This window comes from Homo sapiens, chromosome 9 (genome assembly GCF_000001405.40).
Source record: "Homo sapiens chromosome 9, GRCh38.p14 Primary Assembly".
Lineage (NCBI taxonomy): Eukaryota > Metazoa > Chordata > Mammalia > Primates > Hominidae > Homo > Homo sapiens.
The window spans coordinates 103,265,182-103,283,097 of record NC_000009.12 but is presented as its reverse complement, the minus strand read 5'-3'; the positions used below and the strand labels follow the sequence as shown (position 1 = coordinate 103,283,097).

The 17,916-nt window shown below is 33.3% G+C and overlaps 1 long non-coding RNA gene across 1 annotated transcript in view, besides 1 other annotated feature; it reads left to right on the top strand.

Annotated features, from left to right (window-relative positions):
- Positions 1 to 17,916, top strand: part of LINC01492 (long intergenic non-protein coding RNA 1492) — a 184,506-nt gene that overhangs the window by 41,936 nt on the left and 124,654 nt on the right. The window contains exons 4-5 of the long non-coding RNA NR_121578.1: positions 5,599 to 5,768; positions 6,950 to 7,067. This is a non-coding gene — a long non-coding RNA (long intergenic non-protein coding RNA 1492). The remainder of the gene's footprint in view (positions 1 to 5,598; positions 5,769 to 6,949; positions 7,068 to 17,916) is intronic.
- Positions 16,985 to 17,534: an enhancer, noted in NCBI's record as "NANOG hESC enhancer chr9:106027846-106028395 (GRCh37/hg19 assembly coordinates)". NCBI's record gives its function as "activates a minimal SCP1, AML or CMV promoter by ChIP-STARR-seq in naive H9 embryonic stem cells {active_cell/tissue: H9 hESC(naive)}" and the evidence as "EXISTENCE:reporter gene assay evidence [ECO:0000049][PMID:30033119]".

Here is a 17,916-nt window from a genome sequence, read left to right as displayed (position 1 = left end):
TCAAAAAGGTTTTCAAGCCCCTCAGATAATGTTGGATACCTCTATTAAGTGTTCTCATACACTATATTGCTCTGTTTTTTTTGGAGTATGCATTTCTATTCTCATTGATTATTTAATTAAAATCTGTTCTCACCAGCAGTCTAGACATTCCATTAGGTAGGACTTTTTTTTCCCCTCTCACTGGTATATCCCTAATAAGTGCACAGCCTGTGGCACACTGAAAGAACATCAGAAAAATGATTGACTATGTAAACAAATAAATGGATGAAGATAAATGGGTAATAAACACAACAGAATAATCAAGTTCATTCGGGGTTAGGAAAGGCTTCTCAAAAGAGATAACTCTATTTTGTTTACAATGAGTAAATAAGTCACTTGGGAAGAAGGGGACTAAAGAAGATCAGTGGGAGAAGAGTCAGCGTAGGCAAAAGCCTGCAAATAAAAACTTTCATGTGTTAGTATTGTCAGAGCATAGAGGAAAATGGAAAAATAATGGGACTCAGCATGGCCATGGCTTATTATGGCCAGGACACTGGCAGTTTGTATTGATAGTCCATATAGCTTAGAAAAGACAAAATGCATTATCCGGTGTTGGTTATAGTATCTAGGTGGGCTCAATAAACAAAACTTGTTAATTGTGCTTTTCATAAGGTATTGCATTTCTTTGATTATTCAGTGCTAACAGTGGTAGATTAAGCTTGGGTCAATGTCATGGCATATTTGTTATTTTCTCCTTGTATTTTAGTCATTTTTTTTGCTTTATATAATTGGAAGCTATTTATTAGATGCATTATATATTACTCAAAAATTAAACTTTTTATAATTATACAATGTTTCTCTTTGTCTCTAGAAATGCTTTGTCTTCAACTCTGTTTCATCAAATGTTAATATCATAGCACAAGCTTTCTTTTTGCTACTTTTGTCTGATATATCTATTTTATACTTTTACGTTTGACTTTTATCCGATGTTTAATACTTAGCTCTTATAAACAACAAACAGACACTTTTCTGTTGTTAATTCAGTTTAATCATCTTTGTGTATTAACTGGAGAGTTCATTTCAGTCACATTCAGTTTGATTACTATATAAACTCACTTTTATAAGCTTCCTTTGTCCTTTCTACTTGTATAGCTTTTTCTAATTTTTTTCTTCCTTTCTACTTTTTGATTAATTGAAATTATGATTTTTTTATATTTTCTCATTCTCTTTGTTAGTTATGTACCTTCTTATATTTTAGTGGATTTTTTGAAAATCATAACATGGATTTAAAAAATATGTATGAAGTAAATTAGTGGTTTTACCCCATTCTTAAACAATATAAAGATTTAGAATGATTTAACTCCAGCTTTACTCCAGAGATAAGTGCTTCAACTATTTTAAATTGATTTAATCCCAAATATTAGGCAATATTATCATTAATTTATTTAGCTAGTTTTTATTTAAAGTTACTCACATGATTACTATTTTATTTATTCAATATTCTTTCTTACACTTTTGATTATACATTTGTAAATAATTTTTCTACTTTGTTAAGTCGAATTGTAAACAGCTTTTCATGGTAGGCAGAATCCTAAAATGATTTTCAATGATACTCTCTCTTATATAATCCTATTGCCTCTGAATGTGAATGAAACTTGTAAATATGATGAAATATATTGTTCATGCTTCTATTATGTTATATGGCACAGATTAGGAAGCAGAGATTATCCGGGTGGGCCTAACATAATCCCTTGAGCCCTTTAGAAACAGAGAGATTTATTTAACTGGTTGCAAAAGGGGAACTCAGATTTAAAATATGAGAGGGATTTGATGTGGGAGAGGTTCTTTGTCGGTGGCTTTGAGCTGAGGAGGCCATAGAGCAAGGTTTGAGAACAGCATCTTGGAGATCAGAGCATTACCTAACCAAGAGAAAACAGAAACTATAATGTGACAACAGCAAGGACAGGATTTTGCTAATAACAGAATGAGCTTGGTAATAGATAATTAGATAAAGCTTAGCCCTGTTGATAGGTTGATTTCAGCCTGATGAAAACCTTGACAAAGAACTCAATCGAGCTTACCTGCTCTCTGAGCTGCATACTATGAGAAAATAAATGGGGGTTGTTTTAAACTCCTGAGTTGTGATAACTGTTTATGAATCAGTAGACAACTAAAACATCTTTAGTGAGATTCTATTCATGTTAAATTCTCTGTTTTCTGATACTTATTTCTAGATAATTATTTTCCTCAAAGATTTAAAGATACTTTTTATACCCTTCTGTTTTAAAAGGTCAATTTTGATTTTTTTGGCTCTTTTATAAACATTCTTTCTTGTTAGTTGCTTTAGTAATTTTTTTTTAATTTGTGTCTTTCTTTATGCTACTATAGTAGAATACCAAAGACTGGGAATTCCAGAACTGCTATAACAGAATATGACAGACTGGATAATTTATAAAAATCAGAAATTTATTTGTCATAGTTCTGGAAGTCATAGTTCTGGAAATCATAGTTCTGGAAGTCCAACATCAAGATGCCAGCATTTGATATTTAGTGAAGGCCTTCTTGCCACATCCTCTGGAGAAAAAAGAATGCTATGTCCTCACATGGCAGAAGGTGGAAGGACAAAAAAACAAGCTATCTGATAGATGAATGGAGCCTCTTAATCCCATTAACTATGAAGGATCCCTTATGGCCCAATCACATCTGAAAATCTCACCTTTTAATGAGATGACATTGGCAACACCTGAATTTTGCAGGGGACACATTCAAACCATAGCAACTTGACTTCACGACAATGTATCTAGATGTGGATTTATTTTTCTGTCTTTTTTCTTTCCCTTCTTTTTTCCTTCCTTTCTTTGTTTCTTATCCTTCCTTTCCTCTCCTTTTCCTCCTCTTCCCTCCCTCTTTTTTTTTTTTCTCTCTCCCTACCTGCCTCCCTCTTTATTTCTGCTTTTTGTTCTTTAGTCATTTTAACATTTTAGCTTGGGGATTTCTCTGTCACAACATTACTAAAGGATGGGAACTGTATCATTGCTCAATCTTAATTTAGGAAGGGGCATTTCCAAGTTGAACTTAGTTGCATGCTCATTTTCAAGGTTTTGTTTATAGTTCATTATGTAGCCAAAATAAATGAAGGAGCAGGTCAGTAGGAACTGGTAAGTGTTCATAAGGCAGCTCCATCTTTGCTGCTATTTAACTCAATACATCTATGTGTTTAAATTTGCTTATGGTCTCACAGAATGCGCCTTACTCTCTTGTCAGAACAGTGATGGTTCTATAAAAATGGTTCTCTAGAGTATTGCTTCAATAATTTCATGTTTTTTTACATGTAAAGTTTTTCCAAATATCCTGTTTTCTGTATCACCAGATATACAAGTGGAAAAGGCCTGAGATACCATTTGATTTGTTAGGTAGGTGGTGCAGAAACAATGAAGAGTGTGAGAACAAGGTGTAGCAATCACATTTGCATTTTTAAAAGTTATACTGTTGATAGTATGGAGGGTAAATTGTAGGGTGTAATGAACTGGGATAGGAGACGAAAGCCTCAGAGAGAAATGGTAGTGCAGATGAAAAGGAAAAAAGATGCAAGAGAATCTCAGATAGTGAACTCAACAGGAATTTGTAAATTGTTGGATTTCTTAAAAGGGTAAGAAAAAAAGGTTTGAAGTCTAGATTTTCAATTATTTCTTGCTTGTATGAATGTTTTCATGGAGTTGTTACTACCCAGAAAAGAATCAGAAAAGAAAAGGATAGGTTAGGGCATGGTAGTGGCTCCAAAATAACTATTTTAGCATGAGTGCTTTAAGATTAATTATATGGAGGCAGAACTATTCCACTGGACATTTGGAGTTATTGATTTGAAGTTCATAAGAAAAGAGAACACCCAGAGTTGTATTTGTCTGTTTGTTTTTAAGAAACATCAACAAATAGAAAAACTTGAAGTTCGGTTACCCTGTGATATTACCCAGGCAGTATTTATAGTAAACAGAGAAAGGGAGCACCAAGATGTTTAGGAGTGAGCACGATTGTTATGCTATAGAACAGAAATTTGATCACCAGGGCCCTAGAGAAAATGAGAAATCTCCATGATATGGTTTTGATGTGTGTCCCTGCCCAAATCTCATATTGAAATGTAATTCCCAATGTTGCAGTTGGGGCCTGGTGGGTGGCATTTGGATCATAGGGGCAGATTTCTCATGAATGTTTTAGCACCATTCCCCTTGGCATTGTCCTTGCAATAATGAGTGAGTTCTCTTGAGATCTGGTCATTAAAAAGTTTGTAGCACTTCCAATATTGTTCTCTCTCGTTCCTCCTTTTGTCTTGTGATGTTCCTGCTTCCCCTTCACCTTCTGCCATGATTGTAAGTTTCCTGAGGCCTCCACAGAAGCCAGGCAGATGCCAGTATCATGCATCCTGTAAGCCTGCAGAATCATGAGCCAATTAAAACTCTTTTCTTATAAATTACCCAGTCTCAGATATTTATTTATAGCAATGTGAGAATGGACTAATGCATTCCATAATATGTTTATTTCAGTATTTCAGTTACGCCTGTCTCTCCTTTCTAATTGTCATTGTCAACCAATAATAGATTGTGTTTTCTCCTACATTTTTATGCTATTCTTCATGGAATAAAACAAATCCCAAAAGTTAGTTTCAAATTGTCAGCACTCTTTCCAATTTCATAATGAAAAAACATGAGGTTGTAGGTTTTAAAAGTTGCAACCTGATTTCTCTCAAGAAAATTTTAAACCTAAATAATCTTTTGGAAATGCGTTCTGCCCCATTACTCAGAGTTTCAGTTCTTCTTCACACAGTGAAATCTATGATTAAATTGCACATTTCTGTAGATAGTGATAGTCAACATGTATCTCCAATCAAAGAAACAACACACCAAATTCAAGATGTTTTTCATGGAAGCAATTTAATTCCATGCTTGTTGTGAGTTCTGTGATACAGAATTACTGAAGATTGCTCACAAGAAACAGAATAATACATTCAAGCTAAAAATGCCTTGAAAGTGTTTTCCCCATCCATAATTCATTAAAAATGAGTAAAAATAAAAATCATAGATGAGGATGTCCTAATTTGGAGACAAATATCAAGGGTTTTATTCATTACTGTATGTGAATTCAAATAACTTATATTCTCATGGTATAACTTATTCACAATATTGTCTGGAGGATATTCTAGGACAAAAGTATAAACTTGCCTTTTTGCTGAGTTCCCTAAACCTTCCTTGTTTCTACCTTTTCTGAATTTTGAAATAGTCAAATACTTTAACAGAATTTCCTGTACTTGTCAACTTCCAACTGAAGATCTTTTATAGTAATGAACTTACTTCTCTTTGAGTGATAATGCTCTACTCCTCACAACCTGGAGAAGAGATGTCTGTATGTGTGAATCTGAACAAAGAACAAATGCACTTACAAATATTTTTTATGAAACCAGTATTTTATCATTATACTTTTTTGGTATTTGGTATGATTTTTTGGCATATTTTGCATTTTTCCTGAAATTACTCAGAATTAATTTCTTTTGTTTTTACTTCTTTATTTTGCGTTTCTCCAGAAGGACATCCTCAAGGATGAGAATGAAAGTTATATATTTATTTTCAGAAAACACTGGTAGAATACGGACACATGAGACAAGGCCAGAAAGGAAGTCAATAAAATGTGATTACTAAGCAAATTACCACCAGAGAAGCAGAAGGAAATCCCTCTTCAATATTTTGAGAGACAGTAAAGAACATTCCCTGGAGTTAGGACAAATGAAGAGCAAGAAGTTTGTGCGTATCTGACAACTTTTCTTCCATCACTGGTTGAGGGCTACTTCCAAAGATTTAACGTTCCTGCCCTTTCAGATTAACTGCTCTGGCTTAGTGTACCCACAACAAGGAAGAAAAAAAATCCTTAGGCAGAGAGTCTCAGGTGTTTGTAATTGGCACCATGGATAGATAGAGGTGAATTATGAGACGAAACGGGCAATATCTTCAGTATCTCTTACACATGCAAATAATACGCCTCATTTTTGTTACACAGTAACTCATTTGAAATTTTCCAAATTAAAATGATAAACACATGGTTGTTGTAACAAAGAAAACAATGGAATTTATTCATACCTTTATAAATACACATAATAGACAAGTTGTCCTCTTGGCATGGCTTGGATGAGTACAAGTTTAGACATAATGGTATATTAACTGTGCAGTATAAGTACAAGCTTCACTGCTAGCTCTTCTTTCTAATATTAGAAATAACCATGCAAATGACATATGTGCACCATGATCAGTAAAAAAAAAATCATCTTACTTCTTTTTTAAGAAATTTCATCTTTTATTTTAAATACAGATTGTACAACTGCAGCTTTCTCACATGAGTATACTGCACATAGGTAGTGAGCATAGTACCCAGTAGGTAGTTTTTAAGCCCACACCACCCTCCCTCTCCACTCTAGTAGTCCACGATGTCTGTTGTCCCATGCTTATGTCTATGTGTACTCAGTGTTTAGTTCTCACTTATAAATGAGAACCTGTGGCATTTTGTTTTCTTTTCCTGCATTAATTAACTTATGATTATGGTCTCCAGTTCATCTATATTGCTGCAAAGAACATGAATTCATACTTTTTATGGCTGCATAGTAACCCATGGTGTATATGTACCACATTTTCGTTATGCAGTCCACCATAAATGGGCAACTATATTGATACCATGTCTTTGCTACTGTGAATGAACATACAAGTAGCTATGTCTTTTTGGTATAATAATAATATATTTTCCTTTGGATATATATTAAATAGTGGGATTGCTGGGTTGAATCATAGCTCTGTTTTAAATTCTTTGAGAAATCTCCAAACTGTTTTCCACGGTGGCTGAACTAGTTTACATTCCCACTAACAGTGCATAAGTGTTTTCTTTTCTCTGCAGCCTCACCAGCATCTATTATCATTTACTTTTTTTTTTTTTTCAGCATCTTGCTCTGTCATCCAGGCTGGAGTGCAGGGGCACCATCTCGGCTCACTGAAACCTCCACTTCCCGGGTTCAAGCGATTCTCCTGCCTCAGCCTCCTGAGTAACTGGGGTTACAGGTGTGTGCCACCATGCCCAGCTAAGTTTTGTATTTTTGGTAGACATGGGGTTTCATCGTGTTGGCCAGTCTGGTCTCAAACTCGTGGCCTCAAGTGATCTACATGCCTTGGCCTCCCAAACTGCTAGGATTACAGTTGTGTTCCACCACGCCCAGCCTTGTTATCATTGACTTTTTATTAATAGCCATTCTAACTGATGTGAGATGGTATCTCATTGTAGTTTTTATTTGGATTTCTTTGATGATTAAAGATGATGAGCACTTTTTCATATGATTGTTTGCTGCTTGAATGTCCTTTCAAGAATTGCTTGTTCATGTCTTTTGCCAATGTTATAATGGAGTTGTTTTTACTTGTTAAGTTCCTTGTAGATTCTAAATATTAGACCTATGTTTAGACCTATGTGGGATACATAGTTTGCAAATATTTCTCCCATTTTGTTGGTTGTCTGTTTACTCTATTGATAGTTTCTTTTGCTGTGCAGAAGCCCATTTGCTTAATTAGGTTCCACTTGTCAATTTTTGTTTTTGATGCAATTGCTTTTGGGGATTTAGCCAAAAATTATTTTCCAATGCTGATGTTGAGAAGGATATTTCCTAATTTTCTTCTAGGACTTGTTATAGATTGAGGTCTTCCATTTACATCTTTAATACATTTTGAGTTAATTTTTGTATATAGTAAAAGATATGGGTCCAGCTTTGATCTTCTGCATATGGCTAGCCAATTATCCCAGCACCATTTATTGAATAGAGAGCCTTTTCCCCTTTGCTTATTTTTGTCAGTCTTGTCAAAAATAAGATGGTTGTAGGTGTGCACCTTTATTTCTGAGTTTCTGTTCTATTCCATTGGTCTTTTTGTCTGTTTTTGTACCAGTGTCATGCTGATTTCATTCCTGTCATCTTCTTGTAAAGTTTGAAGTCAGGTAGTGTGATGCTACCAAGTTTGTTTTTTGTTTGTTTGTTTGCTTAGGATTGTTTTGTATATTTGGGATCTTTTTTTGGTCCTATATGAATGTTAGATTATTTTTCTAATTCTGTGAAGAATGATGTTGGTATTTTGATAGAAATTGTGTTGAATCTATAAGTTGCTTTGGCAGGATGGCCATTTTAATGATATTGATTCTTCCAATCCATAAGCATAGAATGTTTTTTTTATTTATTTGCATCATCTCTGATTTATTTCAGCAGTGCTTTGTAGTTCTACTTGTAGAGACATTTCACCTTCTTAGTTAGCTGTCTTCCTAAGTATATCTTTTATTTTTTGTGGCTATTGCAAGTGGAATTGTGTTTTTGCTTTGACTCTCAGCCTGGATGTTATTATTGTATAGAAATGCTACTGACATTTGAACATTGATTTTGTATTCTGAAACATTACTAAAATTGTTTACCTGTTCTAGTAGTCTTTTTGGTGTAGTCTTTAGGGTTTCCTGTCTATAGAATCATATCATCGACAAAGAGAGATAGTTTGATATCTTTTTTTTTTCCTATTTTGGTCCCTTTTATTTATTTTTATTGCCTGATTGCTCTGGCTGGAACTTCCAGTATTATTTTGAATAGGGCTGGTGAGAGTGGGCATACCTCTCATATTCTAATCCTCAAGGGGAATGGTTCCAGCTTTTGCCTGTTTAGTGTGATGTTGGCTGCGGGTTTGGCATGGATAGTTCTTATTATTTTGAGGTATGTTTTTTGATGCCTAGTTTCTTGAGGCTTTTTATCATGAAGGGATGTTGAATTTTATCAAAAGATTTTTATACATATATTGAGATAATCATGTATTTTGCTTTCAATTCTGTTTATGTGGTGAATAACATTTCTTGACTTGTATATGATGAACAACCTTGCATCCCAGAGATAAAGCCTACTTGGTCACAGTGTATTAACTTTTCTATGTGCTGCTAGATAGTTACAAACACCATCAAGAAGTTAGAATAATTTGAAGTTATCAATATAACTTTGCACTTAATGGAACTAGGAAAAAATAGAGGAAACTAACCCCAAAGCTAACAGAAAAAAATTAAAATTAAAGAAGAAATAAAAGAAATTGAGATGCAGAAATTCATAAAAGAGTTCAATGAAATCAAGAGTTGATTATTTGAAAAAAATAAACAGTATTGATAGACCACTAGCTAGATTAACAAAGGGAAAAAAGGGAGGATTCAAATAAGCACAATCAGAAATAGAAAAAGATGACATTACAACAGATCCCAAAGAATACAAAAGATCGTCAAAGAATACAAAAGATCGTCAAAGAATAGTATGAACAACTCTATGGACACAATTTAGAATATCAAAAGGAAAGGGATAAATTCCTGGAAACACATAATTCTCCATGATGGAATCAGGAAGATATTGAAACCCTGAATAGATGAATATCTAGCTCTGAAGTTGAGTGAGTAATAACAAACCTACCAAGAAAAAAAAAATGCTCACAGCCAAATTCTACTAGAATTTGGTTGAATGCACAGCCAAATTCTACCAGATGTACAAAGAACTGGTATCCATCTTACTGAAACTATTCAAAAAATCCAGGAAGAACTCCTCCCTTACTCATTCTATGAAGCCAGCATCTTCTTAACACCAAAAGCTGGCAGAGACACAACAATATCCCTGATGAACTTAGTTGCAAAAATTCTCTACGAAACACTAGCAAACCGAATCCAGCCATTCAGCCCATTTACATTTAGGGTTAATATTGATATGAGAGCTTTTGATACTGTCATCTTGCTGTTAGCTGGTTGTTATGAGGATTTGATTGTGTAGTTGTTTTACAGTGCTTATGGACTATGTGCTTAAGTGTGTTTTTGTGGTAGCAGGTGTCATTCTTTCAGTTCCATGTTTAGCACTCCCTTCAGGACCTCTTGTAAGACTGGTCTACTTGAAGCGAATTCCCTCAGCATTTCCTTTTCTGAGACAGACTTCATTTTCCTTCACTTATGAAGCTTAGTTTGGTGGAATATTAAATTATTCATTTGAATTTCTTTTCTTTAAGAATACTGAAGCCCCCCCGCCCCCAATCTCTGCTGGCATTTAAGTTTCTGATGATAGGTCTGGTGCTATCCTTATGGGCTTCCCTTTGTATGTGACTTGACACTTTTCTCTGGCTACCTTTAAGATTTTTCCTTTTGTATTGACCTCAGTGAATCTGATAACTATGTGTCTTGAGCATGGTCATCTTATATAGTATCTAGGCAGGGTTCTCTGTATTTATTTGATTTACACATGAAAATCTCTAGTGAGATTAGGAAATTTTTTATGGACTACATCATCAAATACAGTTTCCAAGTCTTGTCTCCTTCTGTCTCAGAAAGGCCAGTAAATCATAGATTTGGTCTCTATACATAATCCCATATTTCTCAGAGGTTTTGTTCATTTTTAAAAATTCTCTTTTTTTATTTTTGCCTGTCTGGGTTGATTTGAAGATATGGTTTTCGAGCTCTGAGATTATTTCATCTGCTTGGTCTATTCTGCTGTTAATACTCCTGATTGTATTATAAGATCTTGTAGTGAATTTTTCAGCTTTAGAATTTCTGTTTTGTTCTTTCCTAGAATGGCTATTTTGTCTTTCAGCTGTTAAATTGTTCTGCTAGATTCCTTGCATTGAGTTTTATCCTTCTCCTGAATCTAGACTAGCCTCTTCACCATTAAAATTCTGAATTCTATATCTGTGTTTTCTGTCACTTCAGACTCCTTAAAAAACCAGTGTTGGGGGTGGGGGTGCAAGTGGGCTTTTTTGGAGGTAAGAGAATACTCCGGTTTTTTGGATGGCCAGAGTTCTTGCACTAATTTCTGTCTCATCTAGGAGGGTTGATATTCCTTTAACGGTGGTGTGAGTTAAGTATAGTCAGTTAGCTTCATTTCTGGATGCTTTCAAGGGGCCTGAGCTCTTTACAGGATCTTGATGTGTGGGTGAATTTTTGCACTTCGTTTCACAGGTGTATATGTTAAGAGGATAATTTTTGGTGTTGTATTGTGGGATGTGATTTAGTAGCAGATGATGATTAAGACTAATGGCCAGTAAGTAGCTAGGCAAATACCCAACCTCATGGCTCTTTGATACTCCCTGGCATTCATAGCCATGCTGCCGTTCCCAGGAGCCATTTGAGGGTGGGAACTAGCCCTAACCTTTAAGCACTCTGTGCAGTGTTGCCAAATTCCTCTCTCTTCAACTTTGGCTTCAGCATCAACTCTCCATACGCTCTCTAAACTCGATAATTTCTAAAATTTTTGAGTATAAAATTTACCCACTTTCTTATAACCAGACCAAACAGTTGGTGTTTAAGCATTTAGGTTCCGGAATCAGTTCTTCAGATGGCACAAAAAGCATAGTGCTCGTATCTGCTTGTGGTGAGGACTTTAGAGAGATTATAGTCATGCTGAAAAGTGATGGGGAAGCAGGCGTTTTACATGGTGAGAGCAGGTGCAAGAGCCATTCTTATTTCTAACTTGGCTACAGAATCATTATGTTGCTGTCTGGATACAGATGTCAGATTTCAAAGGATCTTCTTTCTAGGCAATCAGGAATGCAGTTGCAGCTGGCAGTGGCAGGGCCAACTAGAGAGAGACCAAAACCCACCTCTGCGCAAAAAAAAAAATCAGGTTATTTCTTTCAAGTCTGTCAGTTATTGGTTACTGCGCACATTTTATTCAGTTCACACAACAGCAGCAAACCACATAGTCATGCTGCCTTTTTGCATCCAGTAATAAGGTCACATGACATTTTATAAGAAGTTACTCCAAACAGGAAATTAGCCAACAAGGATACAAGCACAGCAATAAAACAAAAAGTGATAACACCAGAAGTAAAATTGGAATTGATGTAAGTAGAGTTAATTGATGAAATAGGAAACCACGGAAATATTGACACTCCCATAGTTTAAGACACTGTGGATATGTTGCTAAATAAATCTAGTGGAACATATAAATGAGAAAGTGCATATGTGGAAAAGGATAAAGATGTTACAGAAGAAGTCATATCAACAGAAAATTTCACATTAGAATCATTCTTGGAGATATCAAATCACATTTAAAGTGCAAAGAATAACATGTTGGAAGTTGATCCAAATTATAAAAGGATACCATAATTCACCAAAGTATATAAAGATATTCACTTCTTATCACAAGTTAAACAATGAGAAGAAAACAAGAGCTCTTCAAACTATTCTTAATCAGTTTTAATAAGGAAATAATTCATAAATGTTTCTAATGTTTTAATTAACATTGTATAAAATAAATGTCAGTTGCACTAATTTTTAATTTTCATATATATTCATAACTACCAATAAGAGTGTTTTTAATGTCTTGGAAAATAATTTTTAAAGACCACGAAACAATTATAATTTTTCTCATTGATTATCAAGATCCCTTTACATGACTTAAGTTTTTACGGTTATTTTTATGGTCCCGCTCTATAGTAATATACAGGACTGCCTACATACACAGATATTACTATGTATGTTTTATTCCTATATGCATAGATAAGCATATATAAATGCATGTAAAAGTAAATTTATTTATTCCCTATCTGAATGACTTACAAGCTTAGATGCTTCTTGTACCCAACTTTTGATAGCCTGTTTTGTATTTTTGCATACATACTTGTTTCTTGTTTTCATATAAATATATGCAAAAATATATTCACATATATTTGTGTTGAGCTCATTTGCTTTTTATTGATTAAACATATTATGGATAAAATATTTATACATACACACACACACGTATAGGATATAGCAGTGAGGCTGTTTTTGCAGTATTTTTTAAATGATAAAAAATTCATATAAGTTAGAAAATATTCTTCTATATAAGAAATAATTAAATTATGATGTAACCATTTGTTTGGAAAGGTAGATATGAAAAAATAATATTTTATATTTATTCCAGTTGCCATAGAATGATTTGTGTTTTCCATGAGATATTGCTGCAGATATTTAAGATATATAGAAGTCTGTATATAATTTCACCTTGTAATATTAACCGTGTCAAAATCATTCTGTATTTGTGTGTGTTTGTTGTGTAGGTAAACATGAAGAAAATTATGAAAAATACAGATGCTTATGATTTTCTGTTGTGATTAAAATGTAACTTAGATTTTATTATGTATTTTATCTATTATGTTATATATAATTACAAATATCTATATATGTTATATATAGATATATAAAATTGTAAATGGTAAGTTTGAAAATGGTTTATTCATGCACCCACTCTCACCATGTGAGATGCCTGATTCCCCATCAGCTTTTACCATGACTGTAAGCTCCCTGTGGTCCTTACCACAAGCATATGCCAGCATCATGCTTCTTCTGCTGTCTGAAGAAATAAGAATGTTTTTATACTGATAATATACATAGCAATCTTGCTAAACTGTCTAATATTATAATTGAATCATAGGATTTTGAAAAATTCTTTTATTCAGTCACATCGTCTCTGAAAACTTGCAGCTTTGCCTTTTTCTTTTCAATGCTTAATATCAGGGTTTTTTTGCTTTTGCTAATCTTAATTTACTTCCTATGGCAATTAAAATATTAAATATTAAATAGAAATGATGGTAATGGTCATGCCTCATTTCTTCACAACATGAAATGAAAACACAAAGCATGTTGTTATTCAAAATTTATACTGACAATGTTGCAGTCAAATGCAGTGAATATATCTGAATTAAGCATAATAATCTTCCAAATTTTCCATGCTTATAATTTTATAAACTTTTTTTTAGAAACAAATGCCAGATAAAATCAAGCACATCCATGTTTTCTTTTTAACTGTGATACCATGACTGTGTACAAAACAAACTATAAAGTTTATAAATTAATCAAAAGGATAATATAAAATAAATAGCAAGGCAGGTAAAAAACAGAAAACATGGTGTTTGCTAGATTAATTCCTTATCTACAATGCTTTACTTTTTAAATTATGAATGAATGTTATATTACAGCAACTACTCCTTTTGCATATATTCAGATCTTAAAATTTTACTTAAAATTTTCATTATATGCTATGAGTATGGTGACTTGTATTGACTGACTTTCTTAGGTTTAAATAATAATGTTCTAGTTATAAACCAATCCTACACATGATGTTTATCTTTTTATATACTTTAGATTTGAATTAATACTATTTTAGTTGTTATTTTATAATTACATTTAATTATTGTCTTGGGATCTTTATTTCTTGCACTGTCCTTACTGGCTTTTTCTCCCTCTAACCTGAATCTACTATCTAGGACCATTAAAATATTAAATAGGAATGATGATAATGGCCAAGCTTCCTTTTAATTACTTCTCTAGAATAGTTTGTAAAAGTTTAGAATTTCGGTAGAACTTGCTAGTGAAGTCATCTGAGCCTAAAATTTTGTTTATGAAAATATTTGTTCAATAATCAAATTTCTTTATTGTTACAGGTGTTTTCAAATCTCTATGATTCCTTCAATTTAAAAAAATATTTTTTTTCTAAAAATGTATATATTTCATTTATATTTTGAATTCATAAACAAAACATTGTTCACAATATACTCCAAAACATTTTAATGTCTTCGGAATCTGAATCAGTCTTCTATTTTATTACACATATTTGTTACTCTTGTTTGTCTTTACTCTTTTTTTTTTCTATCCAACTTGCCAGAGATTTATATATTTTACTAGAATTGTAAAAGGATCAACTTTTGACTATATCAAGTCTTTGTGTTTTTTTAGGAGCTTCTTCTCATACTCATATTGTATACATTCTAATTTATTTTGTTGTATCTTTTCATTCTTTTTCTAACATCTCTGGTGTTACTTAGCCTGTTATCTGTTATCTGAGGTAGATACTTAGCCTGTTAATTTTAAGTATTTTTATAATATATGCATATTAAGCTACATATTTTCTTTTCTGTGCTATTTTAACTGAATTAAAAAGTTTGATAAGCAATATTTAGTTAAAATAATTAGCCCATAGGCTACTTAGAATTATATTCTTAGTTTGTCGAATATATGAAGATCTTCTAGTTGTCTTTTAGATGTTGATTCCTAGTATATTTTCATTGAAGATGAACACATCAAATACAAAGAATCAATGAAATGAAATGTTGGTTCTTTGAAAAGATAAAAAAAATTAATAGACCACTAGTTAGGGTAACCAAGAAGAGAGAAGATACCAATAAACATAATTAGACATGAAAATGGAGACATTACAACTCATACCATAGAAATACCAAAGATCATCAGAAACTACTATGAACAATTATACTAACTAAAGAACCTAGATTAAATTAACAAATTCCTGGAAACATAAAATCTCCTAAGTTTGAACCAGGAAGAAATATCAATTGTTATTTCTAAGTAGTAAGATTGAATCAGTGATAATAATAGTAATAAAAAGAGCCTAGGACCAGATGAATTCACAGCCAAATTCTACAAAACATACAAAGAACTGGTATCAATCATCCTAAAGCTCTTCCAAAAAATCAAGGAGGGAGTACTTCCTAACTCATTCTACGAAGGCAGTATCACCCTGATACCTAAGCCAGACAACGACAAAATTAAAAAAGAACTACAGACCTGCAGACCAATATTCCTGATGAGCAGAGATGCAAAAATGCTCAATAAAATACTAGCCAACTGAATCCAACTGCACATCACCAAGGTAATATGCCATAATCAAGTGGGTCTCATTCCAGGAATGCAAAGATGGTTCAACAAGTGCAAATCAATAAATATGATTCATCACATAAACAAAATTAAAAACAAAAGTCATATAATTATCTTGATACATGCAGAAAAAGCTTTTGAAAAAATCCAGCATACTTTCACACAAAAAACAAAACACCCAACAACTAGGCAAAAAAGGAACATAGATCAAAGTAATAAAAGCCATCTATAACAAACCCATGGTCAACATTTCAATTTTTTTTTTTTTTAGTCATATGTTTGTCTTGTTTTCTTGCACTCCTTCCTAGGCAATGTCTTCACTAATATGCTTGACACCAGGCAATCTCTGATCTGCTCTCTGTCACTATAGTTTTGTCTTTTTCTAGAGTATTAAAAGAATGAAATCATAAAATGTACTTTTTGTGTATGGATGTTTAGATATTTAGAGGAAAGGTTGGTCTGTCACAAATTATTTAATCATAACCAGAAAAAAAGGTCTTCCTTGATAATTTAAAAACTCAATTTTCATAAGGTCTAAATTACATACCATAAAATACACTCACAGCAATTGTATAGTCTCATTGATCATTTTAAACAATCATGTAACCAACTTACTATCCAAATTACAAAAATTTGTGACCAGCATAAAAACGTTCCTCATGTCCCTTTGCAGTAAATCCCCTTCTGTCCCTAGAAACAGCATACCACAGGTCTACTTTTTGTCACCTTGAACCAATATTGAGTGTTCTATAATTTTCTATAAGTCTTATTTCAAGTTACTTTTTGTTTTCAGAATAAGATGAGCATTGTGTTTCATTGTATTCATTTTTGTAACATATGGACATCCATTTGTTCCAACACCACTGCTTAAAGACTTTATTTTCTGTCAGATTCAGTGTTGTTGTCAGTAATCCATTTTGAAGTAACTGCTTTGTTCTATGTGATCTATAAGTCTATATTTATATCAATACCAAGGTGTCTTGAGTATACGTTTTTCCCTAATTTTGAAAGACGAGCTTTTGATAATTTCTTATAATGATAGCTGCAGATTTTCGTAGATGCCTTTTATTGGACTGAGTGTGTTCCCTTTTATTGGGTTGAGTGTGTTCCCTTTTATTGAGTGATGTGAATATTTAACAACCAGTTGTCTGGGAATAGAGATGAGATACTGGTTTGTGGCATTTATGAGTTTCACGGTGTAAATATTCCCAATGAACGCTATACAAAGCTTTCATTGTTACATTAATTGAAATATCTAACAATTTAACAATCAACTGTCTTGGGCTAGTTCTAGCACATCACTGCTTCTGTTTTTAGATTGCTAAGAGCTTTCTATCACTCCTGCTAAACGTGGCTATATTTAGAAATGGTTTGTCTTTTCATAAGTTGGCCTCTTTTTATTATATAGTATCCCTTGTGAAAGGAAAATCAATATTGGGACACCAAAATCCGTAAGCTAAAGGGAAAAGTCAAACTGAGAACTGCTTAGGGCAAACCTGCTTCCCATTCTATTCAAAGTCATCTCTCTGCTCACTGAGACAGCAGCATATCTGATTGCCTCCTTTGGAAAGGCTAATCAGAAACTCAAAAGAATACAACTGTTTGTTTTTTATGTACCAATGACCTGATAGTCCCCTCCCAGCCTCCAGCTGTCCCGCCTTTGCTTGAGTTGTCCTGCCTTTCCGGACCAAACCAACGTTTATCTTACATATATTGATTGATTGATGTCTCATGTCTCCCTAAAATGTGTAAAACCAAGCTGTGACCCAACTACCTTGGGCATATGTCATCAGAACTTCCTGAGGCTGCCATGGGCATGCGTCCTTAACTTTGGCAACATAAACTTCCTAAATTGACTCAAACCTATCTCAGATGTTTGTGGTTCACATTCTCTTTATCCTTTAAGATAATCACTTTGTTTTGTGGTTGATTACGTGTCAATTTTCAGTAGCTCATTTTGGTCTTCTGCTGATGCATCTTGCTATCTACTCAAATATACAAAATTGTTGTAAAGGTCAAAGAAATTGGGAATATTATCATATAATCTATAGCACATTATCCAGAAAAATTAATATAACTTACATTTATTTATTTACTTATACATGCCTTTAATAATGGAAATGTTATGGCTATAAATGTTCCTCTGAGGATAGCTTTTACTATGCCCAACAGAATTAGTTCTCCTTTTTCATTACTTTTCCAGTAGTATAAAGTTTTGGGTTTTGA